Source organism: Homo sapiens, chromosome 8 (genome assembly GCF_000001405.40).
Source record: "Homo sapiens chromosome 8, GRCh38.p14 Primary Assembly".
Classification (NCBI taxonomy): domain Eukaryota; kingdom Metazoa; phylum Chordata; class Mammalia; order Primates; family Hominidae; genus Homo; species Homo sapiens.
Window position 1 is genome coordinate 4,117,361 of NC_000008.11, and position 21,999 is coordinate 4,139,359.

Sequence of the window (21,999 nt, forward strand, 5' to 3'; positions counted from 1 at the left end):
ATAACACCGGGACACCAGGCAAAGGAGCTCCCAAGCTGAACCTCTGCCTGCCGCAAGGTAAATACAAGCAGGACCGCATGCTGCAATTTCAGGGTTATGATCGTCTTAATAAATGATGCACTCAATGTGCTATAAATCATCTCCCTCCGACCAACTCTCTCGGCAGCCTATTATAATACTCACTGATTGTGACAGCTAATAGCAGCTACAATAAATGATGGCAATGATTATTTTTTACAAAGGACTTCCAGTTAGAGAAAAGGTGTGTTAAAACGCTGAAGCGCCCGCACTTCTGGGTGCCAAATAGACAGACTGTATACCTGACACTGGCCTTCTCTAGTCAGTAACTTCATCACATAGCTTTTAGAGAAGTAAGTTTAGATGTCAAATAGATATTCAGAAACACACCAGGCCCATTCAGAGAATGTCAGGCTCAGAACGTATCCTAGAGGACACCTAGTTAGAACATCTCACTTTCCAAACAAAAGACAGAGACTCAGGGCATGTCAAAAACCACAAAACAAAGTAGAGGAAAGACATTTAAAACTAGAGAAAGAAATTTTCCTGGAAAAGTCAGGGCAAGTCAATAGGAAAAAAAAAAAAAGCAGTGTACAAAGGACAAGAGCAGGCACATGAGAAATGACATAGGTAAAAAAAAGTTTTTCTCAAGCCTCTTAGTCATCAGGGAACAATGAAGGGTGTAACATCGGCCATATGATTAGACAAATTATAAGGCTTGTGTGTTTGCAGGTGTACAGAATAGTGAGGAAACGGCCCTTGGCAGACTCTCAGTGGGAGCAGAGGGGTGTGTTGGTACATTTATGCTGGCAAATAGCTATTAATATTAAAAACTAAATTTTTAGCACATGCTTTGTTCCAGCAACTAAACTTCTGAAACATGCCCTTAAGAAATGCTCACATGTGAAGAAGTTCGACCTGTATGGATGTTTACTGCAGCAAACTTAAAAATAGAAGCTTTGCAATCTACCCATCTGACAAATGTCTAACATCCAGAATCTACAAAGAACTTAAAGAAATTTACAAAAAAAAAAAATCAAAAAGTATACAAAGGATATGGACAGTCACTTCTCAAAAGAAGACATTTATGCAGCCAGCAAACATATAGAAAAAAGCTCATCATCACTGGTCACTAGAGAAATGCAAACCAAACCAAAATGGGATACCATCTCACGCCAGTAAAAATGGCGATCATGAAAAAGTAAGGAAACAATAGATGCTGGCAAGGCTGTGGAGACTTAGGAACACATTTTACACTGTTGATGGGTGTGTAAATTAGTTCAACCATTGTGGAAGACAGTGTGGTGATTGCTCAAGGATCTAGAACTAGAAATACCATTTGACCCAGCAATCCCATTACTGGGTATATGCCCAAAGGAATATGAATCGTTCTACTATAAAGACACATGCACATGTATGTTTATTACAGCACTATTCACAATAGCAAAGACTTGGAACCAACCCAAATGCTCAACAATGTTAGACTGGATAAAGAAATGTGGCACATATACACCATGGAATACTATGCAGCCATTAAAAAGGATGAGTTCATTTCCTTTGGGGGGACATGGGTGAAGCTGGAAGCCATCATTCTCAGCAAACTAACACAAGAACGGCAAACCAAACACCACATGTTCTCACTCATAAGTGGGAGTTGAATAATGAGAACACACGGACACAGGGAGGGGAACATCACACACAGGGACCTGTCAGTGGGTGGGGACAAGAGAAGGGAGATCATTAGGGAACGTACCTAATGCATGTCGGGCTTAAAACCTAGATGATGGTTTGATAGGTGCAGCAAACCATCGTGGCACACATATACCTATGTAACAAGCCTGCACATTCTGCACATGTGTCCTAGAACTTAAAGTAAAATTAAAAAAAAAATAGAAACAAATGGAAACAACCCAAATCTAAATGTCAACAGGCAAATTACTAATCAAAGTTTGGTACATCCACAGCAGGGAATGCTAAGTGAACATTTTTTAAAGAGGTTGATCTACTACTGATTTTACTGTTTTCAGTTAGAAATCAAGTCACAGGATGATATTGATGTGTCATGGACTGAATATCTGTGTCAGCCCGAAAACCCATTGGTTAAACTCGTAATCCTCAATGTCCTGGTATTTGTAGGTGGGGTGCTTGGGAAATAACCAAGTTTAGATGAGGCCTTAAGGGTGTAGACCAGAGGATAATAGTAGTGTTCTTCTATCTAGGGAGGAGACCAGGACTTCTGCTCTGTCTGTGCTCTGTGAGGAACAAGGAAGCACACAAGCACACACTTGCAAGCCAGGAAGAGAGTCCTCCCAGAACCACAGTGGGCTGGCAGTCTGATCACAAACTTCCAGCCTCCAAACAGTGGGAAATGAACATCCATGGCATTTTGCTACAGCAGCCTGAGCTGAGTAACAAAACGTTCTACGATGCAATTTATGATTTTAAAACTCCTACACGTTTGTGTATGTTTCTGGAGACACATCTGAAAGGGTTCGACAAAGTACAGGACAGTTGCCGGAGTCTGGTAAGGGTAGTGGGAGGGTGAGAGGAGCTGGGGATGGTTAATAGGTATCAAAAAAATTAGTTTAAAAGAATGAATAAGACCTAGTATTTGATAGCACAATAGGGTGACGGCAGTTGATGATAATTTAATTGCACATTTAAAAATAACAGAGTATAATTGGATTATTTGTAATACAAAGGATAAATGCTTGAGGGGATGGACACCCCATTATCCATGATGTGAATACTACACATCGCATGCCTGTATCAAAACATCTCACGTACCCCATAAATATATACACCTATTGTGTATCCACAAAATTTAAAATAAAAAAAATTAATTGGCTGACAGCCATGACTCCTGGGGCATAAAAAGGATTTGGGGTAAAGAAGGGTTTTCACCTTTTATTATATATACTTCAGTGTTATTTCAATTTTATTGATTACTTAGCTATAAGATAAGATTATTTTATAAAATCAGATTCTTACTTAGACTAATGCCAACATGCTGACCGTATGCCCATCCAATTGTTTGTTGAGTTTTCTCTCCTTCCTCCTCCTCTCTGTCTCATCCCTGCCAGTCACTTCTCACACAAATGCTAGAAGAAGAACCAGGAGATCAATTATTTCCAAATTTCTATATTTGGCATCTTCTGGCGATAAGGGATACCAAAACTGGCGACCGGGAGGCTTTCAAATGGCCTGTGGCCTCACACTTTTGGGTGCCAAATAGACAGTCTGTGTACCTGCCACTGGCCTTCTCTAGTCAGTAACTTCATCACGTGACTTTTAAAGAAGTAAGTTTAGATGCCAAATACATATTCAGAAACACTCCAGGCTCATGCAGAGAATGTCAGGCTCAGAATGTGTCTTAGAGGACACCTAGTTAAAACATGTCACTTTCCAAACAAAAGACAGAAGCTCATGACATGCCAGAAATCACAAAACAAAGGAGGGAGAAGTCTTTTAAAATTACAGAAACAAATTTTTTCTGTTTTATTGTTTATACACCATGGAATTTATTTAGGAATTCTGTTCCTATGTGCCTGAAAATGTGTATAATAAGAATACTTTTCTTACATGGTCATGGACAAACTATACATGAAACATGAACCTTTTGATGGCTTGGTTTATTAAACATACTAGTTTAGTAGTCCAGGAACAAAGGAGTTTCTTTTCTGACTGGGTCTGTTTGTCAAGGTATTTTTATTTTATTTTTTATTTATTTTTATTTTTATTTATTATTTATTTTTGGGCAGAGTCTCACTCTGTTGTCCAGGCTGGAGTGCAATGGCACGATCTTAGCTCACAGCAACCTCTGCCTCTCGGGTTCAAGCAATTCTCCTGCCTCAGCCTCCCAGCTATCTGGGATTACAGGCACCTGACACCACACCCAGCTCGTTTTTGTATTTTTAGTAGAGACACCGTTCCACCATGTTGGCCAGGCTGGTCTCAAACTCCTGACCTCAGATGATCCACCCACCTTGGCCTCCCAAAGGGCTGGGATTACAGGCATGAGTGTCAATGTATTTTTCATTACAGAATTCACACGCCCACCACACCGGTCAAGGGCTTCTTTGCTATACTTGCTTCTAGTTACTTTCCTATTTCTCACTATAATAATATTAATTGTAACCCTGACAGATTTGTTAATAGAAGTGAAGCAATTGTCTAAAATGTAATCAATCTTTTATTTTTTTTTCAAAAGAGAAGTAAATCATGTGCATAAACACCTAGTTTAAAAAAAAAAAAAAGAAGTGGGAATTCTTAGGAAACTAAGCCAAGATTTTCTAATTTCAAAGTTGAAGAGGGTTTTCATCATTCTGACATACTTCATTCTAGAATTATGGCAGCAAGGATAAAACAGCATTAATTTGCACAAAATTACAAAGGTAATATTACAGTACATCACTTATTTTCTAATTGTAACTTAGTTCCAAGGCTTTGGGGGGGACAAAAAAAGCATTCTTTTTTCAATACTCCAAGAAATTTAAACTATTAGAATGACTCTCAGATACCAACTCATGAATCACACATCACACTCCCTGATTTTATATTAAATGATTAGTGAATTTAAATTTTAATAATGCTTATGTATAGATTTACTAAAATATTTTTAATCATTAAGAATAATTTTAAATCTATAAACTTTATTGTATAACTACATGTTCCTTTTAAAATAAATTTATAAAATATATATCAATATCATAGAAATATAATATTGTATCGTATAGGATATCAGAGATACTTACTACATAATGTCGCTAAGTTATTTTCCTGACAGACTTGATAAGAATGACAGTGACTCCAACACCGTGTTAATGATAGTCTATTTGCTGACTTTTGTGAGGGAAGTGCAGTTGGTTTGACTTCGTACATTTCTTAAGACCTGGTTATTTATAGATTTGCTGGTCATAAGACAGCTTTGATGACCAAATATTAAGGGATATTTAACCCAAGAAGAAATAGGATTTACTATATACTCAGTGCCAACAATTTGCCAGGCTGTACACCAACATGATCCCATTAAATATGAACAACAAACCTCTGACGCAGTTAGCAATAGATCCAGGGTGGAAATGAAGAAACTAAGAGACACGTAGATTAAGTAAACTGTCTAAAAGAGAACCAGAAAGTACCAGCCGCATTTTAAATACCTGCCAGTCACCCCGTGCTTTCCCAATGTTTGGAGGACATCGCATGCCCTACAAAATTAGGGCTCTTCTGCAGAGATGGAGGTGATAAGCCTCCAATCGCCAAACCAAACCATGTGAGGCCAGGAAGGGCAGACCCTCAGGGGCTGCAGCTGGGCATGGCTAAATGCTGTAACCCAGGATTTTTTCCTAGAAGTAACACTTTCTGTGAAAGGGGAAGATTTCTGGCTCTTATCAATGGAAGTCACTGTCTTCCATCAAAAAAACAAATGATTTAATCTCCCCCTCCCTCTGTAACAGAGTTCACAGAGAACAGAAACTTGGTCCACATAAAGAAAGGCAACTCCTGAAGAAACTAATAGCTACGAGACCCTTTAAGGACACAAATCCACGTTAAATTCTAGGCTACTGCAAAGCAGCACTGTGGCTAGACCTACGGTGATAATTGGCAAAGACGTGCCACTGAGCTTCCAGCTTTGACAAATTACAATCAGAGACTGGAATTTTTCTGTGTTTAATTATTAAAAGCTTTGATGCTTTCATAATGCCAGTGAGATTGGAAAACAGAAAAATGATCCATCAGTACACAAAATAGGAAGATGAAGAATATTTAGGCAGTCCATGCTGAGATGTTTTTTATAACTCGGCTACATGATGGAAGGGTTAGGAATTCCTTAGAGCCAAGTTCACAGTTAATGACAGAAACATGTAGTAAATGATACAGGCTTTGTAGCTTTTAGAATATATTAGGTCAACAAACATTTTCCAGGTCACTATCTGGAGCAGATGCATGCCAATTAGTAGGCTCAGTGGGAGCCTCACCCATCCCATAACGTCCTTTATTAATTCTTATCTGGGTGTGCCACATATTTCATTTGCTTTACTGTTTCTTAAATATATTTGGCCTTTAATGTTTAAATATCATTATTGTGGGTAAATCAGTGCAGTTGAATTGCTTTTAGAAGATTCGGGACTGTGTTTTCTTTGATGATTAACATTGAAAATGTGAACTTGTAACACATTTAAAGTGAGGAAATTCAACGTTAATTTCTATGGTTTTTATCACTTTTGAAAAAAAGTCATTTTTCCTTTGATGATAACATTGGAAATGGGAACTGGTAACACTCTTAAAGTGGGAAAACCTGATGATAACTTCTATGGTTTTATCACATTTGGAAGAAGTCACATTGTAGATCATTAGAATTCAATGTGTTTATGCTGTGATAATTTACTGATGATGAAGTCAGAAGAACCCAAAATAAAATATAATAGAGAACTAAGTTCAAGTGAGGACCTATAGAGAATGAGAACACGGAACTTTCAACGAGATACACATTCCAGGGTTGTATGTGATTCCTGAAATCAGATTTCACAATCTCTTACAAAGAAGTTTCTTATTTGTCAATTACAACTCAAAAAAGCTGGAAAAAAGTTTCTGATGTACAGGAAACAAAGAATAATTAAAATATTAATGGATTATCTAACTTTTTTTTTTCTACATTGCATTCCGGAACGACATTCCCAACACACAGACTTCTACGCACAGAACAACGAAGAAAAAAAAGAGAAAGAAAAACTATTTTCTGCAAGAAGTCAAGTGATGAATGTTGTCCTAAAACAGTCTGCGGAGGCGCAGGGGAGGAAGTGGGGGTGGGCAGTACGACCAGGAGGAAGCTTCAGGGCTCCTGGGCAGGGGAGTGTGAGGCCTGAGGTCATTAACAGTAAGCACTGACTGGCAAATTAATAACATCAATTTAAACAGTTATAATTCCACAGGATCCTCTATCAAGCTGATTCTAAATGAGAAACTTTTCTTTACGGATATGAAATGTTTTCTTCTCCATATCAAAAAGGAGACAGGGGATTTGTATTTAATTTTTTTCCCTTTAGTGTAGAAGGGAGGAAACCCACGAAGCTGCAGATGGCCACTGTGGACTTCTCTCCACGGGGTGAAATCACCAACTGCCCCTTGAGTGTGTCTTCAAGTATCAAAGCCCTGAGAACTTACAGAAGCTTTGTGGCCACCTGCGCCCGGTAGTGGGGACCATCTGGGGTTTCCTGTGCCTGGCACCAGCACGCACAGCCAGACCTCACTGGCAAGGCCCAGTGTGAAAGTGAGGGACTAAGTGGCTAATCTGGCTGGACTTCCTAGGTCAATAGGGACTTCCCTAAGGGGGCTTTTCCCTAAGCCAGAATGAGTCACAGCTGCAAACTAAGGGACTGAAACTTCAACCAATCATATAGGAAGTTTAAGCTCTAGTTGCAGCCTGATGTTTTTAACCAATCAGGCCCACCAACCCACAAGCAGATACAAAATAAACTAACTCTATAGGACAGAAAAAGGAAAAGCGGAGGGGTTATAAGGAGATATAAGCATAAGACACCCAAGCCAGAAACAGCAACTCTTCCGGGTCCCCTTCCACCTCTTGGAAGTTTTACTGTCGCTTTTGCTTTCCTTTCACTTTCATAAATCTTGCCGCCGCACACTCTTGGGGTCCGCACGTTTCTCTAATTCAGCTGTAACACTCGCCGCTGCAGTCCACGGCTTCATTCCTTGAAGCCGGTGAGACCAGGAACACTTCCATCGAGAAAAAAACCTTTGATCAGGAGAAGACTTCTTGTCTCAAAAGGAAGATAACTCTTGGGGCCCCAAAATTACTAAACTAAAGGGAAAGGTCGAGCTGGGAACTGCTTAGGGCCAACCTGCCTCCCATTCTATTCGAAGTCACCCCTCTGCTCACTGAGATAAATGCGAATCTGACTGGCTTCTTTGGAAAAGCTAATTAGAAACTCTAAAGAGCGCAACTGTTTGTCTCTCACCTACTTGTGACCTGCAGGTCCCCTCCCTGCTCCAGTTGTCCCACCTTTCTGGACGAAACCAATGCACATCTTTCATCTGTTGCTTGATGTCCCATGTCTCCCTAAAATGAATAAAACCAAGCTGCGCCCCGGCCGCACTGGGTACACGTCGGCCGGACCTCCTGAGACTGTCAGGGGCGCGCAGCCTCAACTTTGTTAAAAATAAACATTCTAAATTAACTGAGACTGAAACTGCCTTTGCAGAATTATAACTGAGGAAATTATGTCAGTGACAGAAATCAGACCTAACCAACTCTATGTTGCTTCTAACCTTTAAGTTGTCCTTGTTCATTCCTGGGCATAGGCTGAACTAAATTTGCGAAGGAATTCAGTTCACAGTTTGACTCTGAAACAAAATTGTTTACAGCCCTTATCAACTGATAGAGCCCTTATCAATTGATCAATTGATAACAGCCCAAGAAGACCCCCATCTTACCTGGTGTCCAGTCTGCTTTGCAGGACTAACAAATTAGCTACAAGTTTAGGACTTACGGTTTAGGAGACACGCAGCCTCTGGCTCCAAGAGTATGAACCTTCCCAAATTGCTTCTGGGGATCACATTACTATTGTAAAACCTAAGATCTAAGATCGGTGGTTGTGATATGTTGCAGACCCTGCACTCCATGGATCAGCTGATACCACCAAGACTTTTAATCTGGCCCGACCAGTTTTGCCATTGCACCCAGAAACAGAAGACAGCAAGAAAAACTCACTTTGACCCCCTGTGATTTCATCTTCAACCTGACCAGTCAGCACTACCCACTTCCCAAGCCCCCACCCACCAAATTACCATTAAAAACCCTGATCCCCAAATGCTCTGGGAGACTGATTTGAGTAATAATAAAACTCCAGTCTCCCACACGACCGGCTCTGCATGAATCACTCTTTCTTCATAGCAATGTCCCTGTTGATAAATTGGCTCTGTCTGGGCAGGGGGCAAGGTGAACCCACTGCATGGTTACGAGACCTGTCTCAGCTATTCAGCATTCACACCAGAATGGTGCCAAACACCCATCACAGGACAGCACCCTAGCGAAGACACAAACCAACATAGTAACATAGATTTCACTTGCTTAACCTGTGCACCCCACCTCCATGGGCACACTGGAAGCAGGAGGTCTCCCACTGATGGTCAGTGCTGCAGGGAGGCCACTGATCCACAATTGTGGGATGGAGACTGGGGACGGGCCACCTTCTGCTGTCTTTCATCAATTTATACTGCACATGTCCTTGAGGCTTTCTGTATTTGGTTTTCTTCTATCTCCTTATTAGATTCTGAGGGTTTATTAATCATTGGTTGGTTACTTCACTCTCCTGGAAGCTGCTCCTCTCCGTTTGAAAAGCCAACAAAAAAATAAACATACAACTCTTTTCTCATAGAAACAGGCAACACTTCATTCTGGAGATGTGTCCTAACCTGGGGTAGGAGATGTCCAGGACAAGTAAAGTGGATGTTGGCAAAGATCAGTCCCAGGACCACAGCATCTGTCTCCTGGGAATGGGTTAGAACACAGGCTCTCACGCCCACACAGACTCTGCTGGAAGAGACCCTGCAGGTGAGGACCTACACTGTCAAGCTGATGCTGGTGCACATTCGAGTTTGAGAGCCACTGGCCTACAAAATATATATACCCTGGCCTCCAAAATCATAGTTCAAGTTTTAGCCAAAAATCAGTCAATCTCCTGTGATTTTTTTTAACAATCCTAGTTATCTGATTCACCCAGAGAAATGCTTCTCTGATCCATCTTTGCATCTGCTGCAGAAACAAAGGATATTTAAAGTTCCTGCTATCCCTGGAGGTGGCTGTCCGGCCCCCTCCAGGATCAAACCCATGGCCTTACGGAAAGCTTCTAACACTACAGGCCCCGCTCCAGGTTATTCTCATGCGGCTCCCTCTGCTTTTCAGATTTCTTATTCTAGACTTCTTTCTTTCTGGCAGTACAAGCCTCTCCCTTCCTTCTTTATCCTTCAGCTTCAGCCACCTGAAAAAAAATCTCCAATCTGGAAAATCTAAACCAACCACCTTTTCTGAAAGGACACAGTTTTCCAAGCATTAATGAAAAAAAAAAAAAAAAAAAAAAAAAAGAAAATCATAAAAACTAACTTCAACTGCAGACTTCTCCCTCCACCAGAAACCCTTTGGTTTTCCTAGTCAGTTTTCCTTCCTTTCCACAGAGGGATTTTCTAATTGTTTCTACTTTCCCACACCACATACAACACCCAAAGTACCTGTATGCATATTAGAACCACTCACCCCCTTTACTTAGACTACTTATAAGGAAGATATTAAATAATAGGCAGTCATGATGAATAAATTTAAGAAAGGTATATTCAGCATTTACTATGTGCCAGCTACCAAGTCTTGACATATATTGTCTCATTTAATCTTTACTCTGAAGTAGATGGTATTTGTACTATCATTATTTATCATTCTTATTATTATTGTTACTGTTTTGCAGATGAAGAAACCCAGACACTGCCAGCAAATGGTGAAGGCAGAATTAAATTCAGGTACTCTGACTCCAGAGCATGCACAGTTAAACACTATTCTGTCTTGCAAAGCCTTGTGATATTGGTAAATGCCACTGCTTTGGGAAAGGGATGCTGTCACTTGAGCAAGTACCACATTTTATATTCTTCAGGTGATTTATAACATCTCAAGAGCAGTGGACAAGACCTCAAAATGGTTCCTCAACAGTCTTCACATGCATCTGGCAAACACTGTCAGGCCAGCACTCCCACCCCCACCTCTGGAGAAAAGTTTGCACTCTTGGTCGGGGACCCCTGCGGAAAAAGTGCCCTGAGAAAACAGCAGCTCCTCCTTGAAAGGCATGTTTCTGCATGGCTGACAGGTGCAATCCCGTGGAGGAATGCATGAGTAAGAATGATCTGAGAAGACTCGTGAATTACTACAAATTAGGGTCAGTTTTTAATGAGGAGACAAGAACGTGAACCAAGTAAAAACTTATGTGGATGGTAAACAGTACCTTCGATTTGGAACTAAAACATCTGTGATGACTCTATTGGGAAAGTTGCAAGACAACTATGAATGCACATATGCCATTCCACATGCTCTCCAAGGTTTAAAATTTAAAACAACCAAACAAACAAACACATTGCTTACTCAAACCCCCTCCTATATTCTATTTTTACAGATAACACATCTCATCTCTTTTAGCTTATCTCCAAACCTTCAAAGACCATTGTTACAAAGCCCATGCTTGCTTTTTCCTCTTGAAGCTTTAGCTCTCCACATGGAAATATGTCTTCTTTCTTTCATCCCATACCCCACAACCTCACGCCCACACACTGTCCACTCATCCTTGCTGGATACTTATACTTTCATCCCACACACCACAGCCTCACACCCACACACCATCAACTCATCCTTGCTGGATACTTATATCCTAGTGCAAGTAGGGTAAGTTTCGGGATTCATGTCATTATTGGTAAGTGTTACAGGCTCTGTGCATGCGCTGTATCATGAATATTTCTGTCTCGTACAACTCATATTGTTTTAAGAATTCCTGTTTTAGCCGGGCATGGTGGCATGTGCCTGTAGTCCCAGCTACTTGGGAAGCTGAGGCAGGAGAGTTGCTTGAACCCGGGAGTCAGAGGCTGCAGTAAGCCGAGATCGCGCCACTGCACTCCAGCGTGGTTACAGAGTGAGAGTCCAACTCAAAAAAAAAAAAAAAAAACAAAACAAAAAAAACAGAATTTTTATTGTTGTTGTTGCTTTTGTTTCATCTGTACTTATCACCAACACATCCCCAACCTCTTCTTCCACTTTCAACATCTACACTTAATATGTTCAAATTCAGCAGATTCCTATCAATTTCCTCTTCTGAGGATGTCTCCTGGGGAGCCTTCAGATCTGCTGTCAACAAAACTAGCACAGTCATTATCTTCTCCCTCTTTTCATGTGGAGCCTGGGAATTCATTTTTTGAACCTTCTTGAATGCATTCCCAGTTTCCTTGACCACCTCCACCCCCAACACACCATGTTCTCCTTTCTTGGCTAATTTCCTCTTTTAGGTAGATGTACTGAGACAGGTGCATGGGAGATAAAAATTGTGAAGTTTTGTATTGTGAAAAAGTCTAGGAGTAAATGACATTTTGCCAGGGCATAGGAATCCGATTTTGAGATTGGATTCCATCAGAATATTTTAGGTTATTTACTTTACGTTTTTTATTATTATTATTATTACTGACCTACTCTGACTTGTTTCCTCTCTGGAAATTTGGTAGGATATTCTCTTTTGTCCCAATGTTCTGAAATCACCTAATGACATTTTGTTATACAAGTCCATTTTCATTCAGTATTCAGTTTTCTTGGGCCCTTTCAATCTGGAAATAACCATCCTGGAAAATTTCTTCAACAATTTAATTTTCTCCATTTGTTACTCCAACTTTATTTTCTAAGTTGTCTCTGACACCTTTTCTTTCCTAGATGGTTCCTGCTTTTTCATAGCATTCTGTTCTTGTTTTGTGAATATAATATATCCTTTTACTTCTCAGGTAATTTTAACAATTATATATTTAAGTTCTTATATCTTGCAAATTTTCAGTTTCTTCCCAGTTGCTTTACCCTATGTGTTTATTGGGAATTTTGCCTTTCTTGTCAGAAGATTTTTATGGCAGTCTGCTTATATTAGAAGAAAATGATCGAACCTCCTGAGTGTGTGTGTGAGAGGAGGGCTAGGGCTGCTCCATCACCATGGAGTCACTGTCAGTAAATCAAGCTTGCTTATTTTACTGAAAAAGACCCAACATCTTTTCCTTAGTTCTTTCTTTCTCTTGAGTGGCTCAGGGTCCCTCACTTTCTTCTTGTCAGTCTAGTATGTAAGTTTGGAGAGCCAAGGATGTCTATATTCATGCAAACGATTAGTTTAACATCTTTATTCTGGTATAATCCCCAAATATGCCTAAGGTCTTCTATTCCAAAGACCCCCAGTAATGGAAGTGGAATTTGATCCTAATTCCTTGTAAAATATACTTTTGATCAACTTTTTTACTCTGCCTCACCGTCATCCTCAGTTTAGTGCAAAAATTTCTGGTTCTGCCAATTGCTGAAGCTTTTGAGTGTACCCTGAGGCGAGTTGATTTGATTCTTGGCTTTCTGAAGTTTTGCATTAGGATTCTTCTTTCCTGGTTCTTTTAAATCAATTACCACTGACCTTATGTTTTCTAACTTGCAAAATTGTATTACGCTCTTGTCTTCTACCATTTAATTTGTCCTTGTGAACTTGTGACTTTGAAGTAATCATTTTGTGATTATAATGTAATTTTAGTGGAATTTTGGAGGGGAGTAGATAACACATGAAAGTATTTTGTCTATCAACTCAAAGGAAGATTTTGAGGTGGTTAACATTTTTCTTTGTAACAAAATCTGTCAATGCTTACAAATTATATATTTGTATATATAATATTGTACTATGTGCTATATTATATATATATTATTTAACTTAGAAAGAGTGTTCATATGCTGAGATAGGTAGAACAATGCATTGGATGGACGGATTAATTATTCAGGCTTTCTGAATATCATATCTAATCTATAAAATAGAAAACATTATACTTTGGTCTTAAAAGTCTCTCCCTGCTGTTGGAATCTAGCATTAATGACTCCACTGGCTCAAGCGTGATTGGATTTGTCCTAATCCTTTTTAGAAATGCCTCAGAGAAGTGTGATTTCTAACTGCTGTTAAAAGGAGAACCACTGCTTATTCATTTACAAGTTATAATCATAATGTAGATTTTAGACAAAAGACTGAGAGTAGTACATCAAAAGACTTCATAGTTAAATAGAGACGCCATTTCTATAAGTATACGGCATGTGGTGTGGCTGAGTACAGAAAGGTAGGAGATGAACTGTAGGAACTGAAGAGGCTGAATCTACACAGAGCTTCCTGTAATGTGAGGTCTGACTGTGCTTTCATCTTCCACTTGGTGACACCTACACGCTCCTCAAAATAATATTCTAATCACATCCCTTAAGCCTTCCTTGAGCTATTTGTACCACCTCTCTCTCAACTACCCCTGAGGTCAAATATACGATTAAACTTCTTAAAAAATAAAAGTTTGAAACCAAATATTTTCCCCTTGGATATTCACTAAACATTATGTTTAATATCAACGCATTTTGTCTTTAACTGTAGAAAATATTTTTCTCATATATTGATAAACTGCATAGTCCCTAATGCTTAGTTTTACACTTGAGAATAGGTACAGCTTCTTGACTAGTTCTCAAGTAAATAAAACTTAAAATGTTAGATAGACTTCATTTATTGCATCCCTTGCAAAAAATATACTATCAGAACAATGCAGTTGTTATCAAGATTAAATTAGTATACAAATGTGACTTTTTTTTTTTTTTTTTTTTTTTTGAGACGGAGTCTCGCTCTGTCACCCAGGCTGGACTGCAGTGGTGCGATCCCGGCTCACTGCAAGCTCCATCTCCCAGGTTCACGCCATTCTCCTGCCTTAGTCTCCCATGTAGCTGGGACTACAGGTGCCCGCAACCACACCTGGCTACTTTTTTGGTATTTTTTAGTAGAGACCGGCTTTCACCATGTTAGCCAGGATGGTCTCGATCTCCTGACCTCGTGATCCCTGTGACTATTTCTATCAGAATCCCTTCTTGATGGCATAACAAAGGTAAAAGCAAAGCATTATAGATTCTTCAAAAACAGGTAAAGAATCACATATGGATCCCCAAAGTCTGTCTTGACAGTAAGAACGACATTTCTACAGATCAGCTGTTGCCTGTTTGTTTATGCGGGTAAAATTTGTCATGGATTTTTTTTTTTTTTTTTTTTTTTCACGGGGTAGTAATACCCCTTTCTAACATCTAGCACTGCTGGATTATGAAAATTTTATCCAAGGTGATGTTTATTCTCTGAAGGTAAACTCAGACTGAGCAAGACACAAAGGAGAATATAAATGTCCTTTTCTGTATTTCTTGTAGAATACATCTTGACTTTGTGCCTATTCTCTAGTATGGTGTCTGAAAATGATGTTTACCCATAGAAACTATTTTTATTTAAAGGAACAAAATTCCATTTAACTTTTACTTTAACAGGAACATGGGTAGTATAATACATTTTATTAGGCATTCCCCTGTTTCTGGGTATAATTTTAAAATGCAAAGGGGGCAATAAATAAGGCCCTTTGTGCTATAGCATACATCATCAATGGCTGATAATTCATTCCAGCACAGTGTTTGGCATTCATTCTAAGCCAAATAAATATTCTATCTTCACAACTCATGACAAACCTGATGAGCCTCGCAACTCAATGTGGGGCTTCCACGCACTTCCGCTGTCATGTGTGAATCAAAATGTTGCAGAGATAGTGTTGATGTTCTCTACAATCCGTTTAAAAAGACACAAACTGTGTGTGAATGTAAAGAAGAATTGATATAAATGCAGATGATAGACAGTTTGTAGCTCAAGACAACTAGGATATATGAAATTTATTCTATTTCTAGAAAGATTATCTTTTATTAACAAATCCTGAAGACTATGGTAAAAGTCATTTATTTATTTATTTATTTTTGAGATGGAGTCTCGCTCTGTTATCCAGGCTGCAGTGCAGTGGCGCGATCTCGGCTCACTGCAACCTCCGACTCCCGGGTTAAAGCGATTCTTTTCTGCCTCAGCCTCTTGAGTAGTTGGGACTACAGGTGTACGCCACCATGCCCGGATAATTTTTCTGTATTTTTAGTAGAGAAGGGGTTTCACCATATTGGCCAGGCTGGTCTCAAACTCCTGGCCTTGTGATCTGCCCACCTCATCCTCCCAAAGTGCTGGGATTACAGACATGAGTCACCATGCCCAGCTGGTAAACATCTAATAATATTATTAAGCAAAGACTTCAATAAAACTGATTTGCTTAAAAGTCTAAGTTTATACTGGAATGAGGACAAATAATGATAGACTTCTCAGCATGGTAAGCACTTCACAAAGCTTAATAAAGTGACACTTTATAACATATATACCTTCACACCTCTGTGACGTGTTCCTAACATAAATTTAAATAAATGTTATCATTTACCTTATTTTTCTTTCAGCCCCAAATCAGCTAGTATAGAAGAAAAGCCTGCCCTGCAATTATTCCTCATATTCTACTTTTCCTTCTCCTCCTCATGGTATAAGGGTTTTGTAGGAAAGCCGTGCATTAACGCCGATATGTGTAATAAACACATCTTTCATGCTAAGCATTGTACTAGCAATGCGAAGAGGAAAACTCTAAAATCTCCATGTAAGTGTAGGGAAAATATGTACAAACATTTTTACACCATAATACATAAAGTGTAATCTCAAGACTGTTTATGGTTATGGTTTTTTTTATTATTTTATATCCCTGATAATCTGATTTAAATATATCCCTTATCTATAGCCATGCCACTCTGACCATGCCTGATCTCCTCTGAAACACACACCTGCTTTGCAATCAGGGTTACACATATAAAGACAGGAAATTTTTTATAAGAAATCTTGTAAACATAGTTATCCAGGGAAACAGAATAAAATCTTGATGTTTTCTTTTTCAGGTCATGCAAACAAACATTTTTAAACTTCGGTTTTCTTATCCATAAAAGAAGAGAAATAATACTTCAGTATACATTTTTTTAAACATTTAAATGAGATTAGCTATTAATAAAGATTAATTGCTATTATTATAAGATTATCAACTCAACATCAATATTGCTGGTATAAGAATATCAAATTTTCTTTTATGATTTAATGACATTGAAACTCATGTGTATGTTTGACTATTTAAAATTAAAGTTGAAGGAAAGTCACTGTCCTTACACGCTGAATTGTGTCTCCCCAGAGTTCGTATGCTGATATATTAAATGCCATTGCCACAAAATGTGACTGTATTTGAGGATAAAGCCTTTAGGTTGGTGATTAAGCTATAAAGACATCTTTAAGGTGGGTCCTCATCCATGACGATTTTTATTCTTATATGAAGAAATCGGGACACAGAAAGGCACAAAGGGATGACCTTTGAAGACAGAGGGAGAAGACAGGTGTCTACAAGCCAAAGAGAAAGACCTGAGGAGATACCAAACCTGCTATCACTTTGATCTCCGACTTCCAGCCTCCAGAACTGTGAGAAGATAACTCTTGTTGTTTAAGCCACCTAGTCTGTGGCACATTGTTATGGCAGCCCTAAGGAATGCATACAACTTCCAACAAACACACCTACACACGTGCTACCTGATTCTCTGATTCTACCTTTAAAATATATCTAGAATCATTCAAATTTTCCATCCCTACCGCCTTTGATTTCTGTGAACCACACCACTTACCTCTTACTACAAGAGTCTCCTCCTGACATTCATGTCTCCAATATACCCCTTCTGAGCCATTCTCAACACGGCATCATGAGTGATTTATTTTAACACAAATTTTGTCCTTGGCCTTGGCTGTTGAAAATCGTTTGATAGCTTCCAATTGCTCCTAGAATAAAGTTACACAAATTGCTCGGAAGGCTTTCAATTATCTAGTTTTTGCTAAACTCTTCATCTCATTCCTCAACCAACACATCTGTTGTATACTAGGCAGGCTCAGCTTAGTGTCTGGGTTCTCTTCTGCCTCTAGAATTTTTATTGATTATTTTGTGAGAGGATAGACCCCTTTCTTAAACTCTTAGCACAGTGAGTTCACATAGAATGAAAAAAAATTCTTCCATAATAAATAATTGCATAAATGTTCTTGACGCACACAAAATATTGTCATATTCTGGTACAATCACTATAAAATTTTCATTAGACAGGCTTCCATTTATCACTTCAGGACCAACAATGTTGAGAATTAAGCTGTCCCATGGGAATATATTTATTCATGTCTAATGCCTTCCTTAACAACCATTAGAAGGAGGGAAGGAAGACAGAAGAAAGGAAGAAAGGAGGGAGGAGCGAAGGAAGGGGAAAGAAGGAAGGAAGGGAAAGGAGGGAAGGAAGGGGAAAGTGGGAAAGAGGGGGAAGGAAGGGGAAAGAGGGAAAGAGGGGGAAGGAAGGGGAAGGAGGGAAGGACGGAAATTATCAGAAGCAAAATGAATATAACTTACACACTAAATATCCCCACATATAAAACCAAAGCTTTAGGAAAGCCTGAGAAAAAACAGTTATGTTTCAGATTGGAAACAAATATTAAATAAGAAGAAATGAGTTTTGATTCTTAAAATATCAAGAGGAAAATTTAGTTTGCACTGTTAATAGTTCAAAGATGTTTGGGATAATATATGAAGAAGAAACCAAAATATTTGGATATTTTGCTTATTAGTCAGGATATTATTATTGTAATAATATAATTCAGTCACCAATTTATCATTTAAAGAATTGCTGTGTAAACTAGAAAGAGAAACTGATTAATGATAGGAATAAAAATCTAGTTAATATCCATTTTTAAACAATGGGATAGATGTAACTACAAATTGGCATTTTTTTAAATCTAATAAGAAAAATGTTCTGATAAATTGCAATGATTTGGGATGTTTTATTTAGCATATGTTAGTTTTCCCTGGATTGGGCTTTCTAAACTATTGGTGTTAAGTCAAATACTGTGGAAGTCCTAGTCATTTTCATCACAAATTGAATTCAATTTCAAAAAATATTATGGGTAAAAACCAAAGAAGAATTTTAAATGGCACTTGGCAAGAGAAAAAAAATGAACTGACTCAGCAAAAGGACTTCCTTTGAAGGAAACTTTCCAAAGGACCTCTCAAAAAGAACTGCTATAACTATACTGTTTTCTTAGAAAAGATACGATATACACAAAAGAACAGCTATGTGAACACAAAAATTGATCACATATATAGAAATGAACTATTGAACCAGACTTGACAGATTGTAACTTGAACACAGTCAGGAACACACAGGGACCATCTTTTTTTAGCTTCCAGATTTTATCACTATCTTGATCTGTTAGTGATAATAAAATATTCATCGCTGAGCACAAATGAAGCTGCCTGCCTGCAACTTGACTGGAGGGTCCCTTGAAATAAATAACATAAAACTGGTTCTCAGCAAGCATCCCTTTTGAAAAATGCCTCTGTGTGTTAGCAAACCAAAGAACTGGATGCTATTATATTACTGTCCACTACAGCAATAGCAAACATGCTCTTCAATGACTCTCAGCAAAAGATGCAAAATGCCTCTAATTTACAGTATTTCAGAAGATGCCAATTCCAGCCAGCAAGAGAGGTTGAATATATTTCCATAAAAATAGTGAGACAGCATTTTCCTTTTTTCCTCTTATTGTCTCACAAGTGTGCTGTGAGTCTTCAGAGACTACGTAACATCTTATGTAGCCATCAAGCCAACGGCTCTTGAAAGGTGTGCATGTGAATTATTTGACTTTTATAATGATTAGTTTGTTGGACTCAATAATTTGTAAGATTGTGAAGGGATCCTGACATCCAAATGTTTGACAAACTCTAGGTTTGCTTTGTGATTATTTACGAATTTCAGAGAACAGAAACTTAACAAAGAAAACAGTCACAGCCACTCTTTCTCCCAAGTACTAGATTAAAATATCATCAAAACCAATATTCAGCCTATATCAATGAAACAAATAAATGTGGGCACAGTGAGAAACCAAGCAGCTGTGTATTTTTACAACATGATCACAGTTGGTTGGCTTTTCGGGCTCTAACTTCCTTTGCTACTTCCCTTAGTTGTCTGCTTATTTTGGGAGAATTTTCAAAATGTGGAACAGAGAATAAGCCATTCATAACAGATGCTGTAAATAGGTTATCCATTTCCTCCTACCTAATAGCATTAGCCTCATCTTGCCTGGAAACAGTTGCCTTTAATTAATTCTCCATGATGCCTCTTTTCTGGTAGCTATGAGAAATTGATAAAGAAACATGGTCTAATTTTAATCAAAATAGGACGTGTCAGTGGCACTCAGGCTAACCTTGCAGGCTAACTCAGACATGTTGAATAGAGAATGCAAACTTCTTATGCTAAATAGATTAATGAAGAACAGAAAACAAAAGTTATCGCTTGTGTTTAATAATGAAATTAAATATATTGTCAAAATAGAGAGTATTTTAAAAGGTAATTTTCACTACAGAATATAACATTGTTTTTCCTTTTAAAAATATTATGGTAGTGTTTAATATTCCATTTGTATTATGTTTTCTTTGATGGTTACAAGATTTGATGTTAATGGAACTGGTTGGTTTGTAAGATACAAAAAAGACAACTGTTAATTGATCACATTTTTATAAGCAGTTTCAATATAAATTCATACTGAAAGTAACTTCTTATATAGCTGTAAGACAAGAGATCACATCGATAAAGATACTGTATTTCACGATGTTGTATTTTATATAAAATTACACTTTCCTAAATTTCTCAAGGAAAATCTAAGCCTTATAATCCAAATTAATTTTCCCCTTACATTATGTCAGAAACTCAGTTAGTGTTATTTTACCTTTTGGATGCCTTACATTATTTTTTTTAATTAATTTATTTATTTACTTGAGATGAAGTCTCGCTCTGTCGCCCAGGTTGGAGTGCAGTGGCGCAATCTCGGCTCACTGCAACCTCCATCTCCTCGGTTCACGCCATTCTCCCGCCTCAGCCTCCAGAGTAGCTGCGACTAGAGGCGCCCGCCACCATGCCCGGCTAATTTTTTTTTTTTTTTTTTTTTTTTTTTTTTTTTTTTTTTTTTTGTATTTTTTAGTAGAGACGCGGTTTCACCGTGTTACCCAGGATGGTCTCAATCTCCTGACCTCATGATCCTCCCACCTGGGCCTCCCAAAGTGCTGGGATTACAGGCGCAGCCTTACATTTTTTTTTTTTTTTTTTTTCAGGTCTCTAACTGATGGGTTTTCCTTTTCTCCTGGCTATGCCATAAACTAAATGGCAAGATGCAGGTTTCAGAATCATACACTTCAGAGTTGAGATTTACACATTTGAGTTGTGGCAAAGCTGGGGCAAGGAGTCAGTGTTCTGATACCTGCTCTGGCACTTTGCCTCCTTACGTCCAGTTCTGAGCTCTCAGCCTCAAAAACACCTTCTATCAAAAAAACACAGAACGCAGGAGGAAATGCCTACAAGTGCCTTCATTCCATCCACTAAAAATGTACAAAATCTCAGGAGACATATTTTGAGGAAAGTGATGGCTATTTTATCTAAGAAAGAATCCCCTGGATCAGATCCTAGATTCTTAGAAATTCAAGAAAGCAAAACAAAAAAAATTAAACAAAGGAAAAAACATCTCTTAAGGTTGACTTTTCAAAGTATTATTTCTATTTTTCAAAGTTAAATTGTAATGAATTCAATATTTCTTCATTTTTTAAGTGCCAATTTAACTAGAGGAAAAATACTAAACCAACTAGTTATCTTTAATTATCAGAATACACTATGAACAGTGGCTTTCATTTAATGGTATTTTTTTGCCCCTGAGGCAAATTCTATAGAGAATAAAGTTAATATATTGTGAATTATTTAATAGGAAGGTTAATTTATATTTAATACAAATAATTTAATCCAGTCCTGCAAGCTTCTATTTATTTGGAATATTAACAAACATTGTCGAACACTCGCCATGCATCTTTCCTGAGCTGTGGGTTGACTGTACGGCCACATGCAGAAAGGACATATGCTGCATGTTTCAGCACCTGAGACAGACTTGGGGCCACCAAAAACAGAGCAACAATGTCTTTTACCGACCACAACACAGCTACACATGAAGACCCCTGTGATTCTAATCCTGGACCCATTTCCTACTGGTTTTATCACATGAAACCCTTTACTTAAACTGTTTCAGTTTCAGTATCTTCCTGGAAAATAAGAGTGTCCTAGTGGTGCTTTAAAGGCGAATTTAGCTTCATTATGCATCAGTGTAAAGTGTTGCATAATTGGCACCCTGTGTCTTACAGCTGTCGTTATACTTATACGAAAATTTATTACAAACGTAATGAAAATTTTTTGACCAGGTA

The 21,999-nt window shown here is 38.3% G+C and overlaps 1 protein-coding gene across 3 annotated transcripts in view, besides 1 other annotated feature; it reads right to left on the reverse strand.

Annotated features, from left to right (window-relative positions):
- Positions 1-21,999, reverse strand: part of CSMD1 (CUB and Sushi multiple domains 1) — a 2,059,554-nt gene that overhangs the window by 1,182,000 nt on the left and 855,555 nt on the right. The gene's annotated exons all lie outside the window — the stretch shown is intronic.
- Positions 20,789-21,017: a silencer, noted in NCBI's record as "fragment chr8:3995671-3995899 (GRCh37/hg19 assembly coordinates)". NCBI's record gives its function as "represses an EF-1alpha promoter that drives an FKBP-Casp9 reporter gene in an ReSE screen in HepG2 liver carcinoma cells {active_cell/tissue: HepG2}" and the evidence as "EXISTENCE:reporter gene assay evidence [ECO:0000049][PMID:32094911]".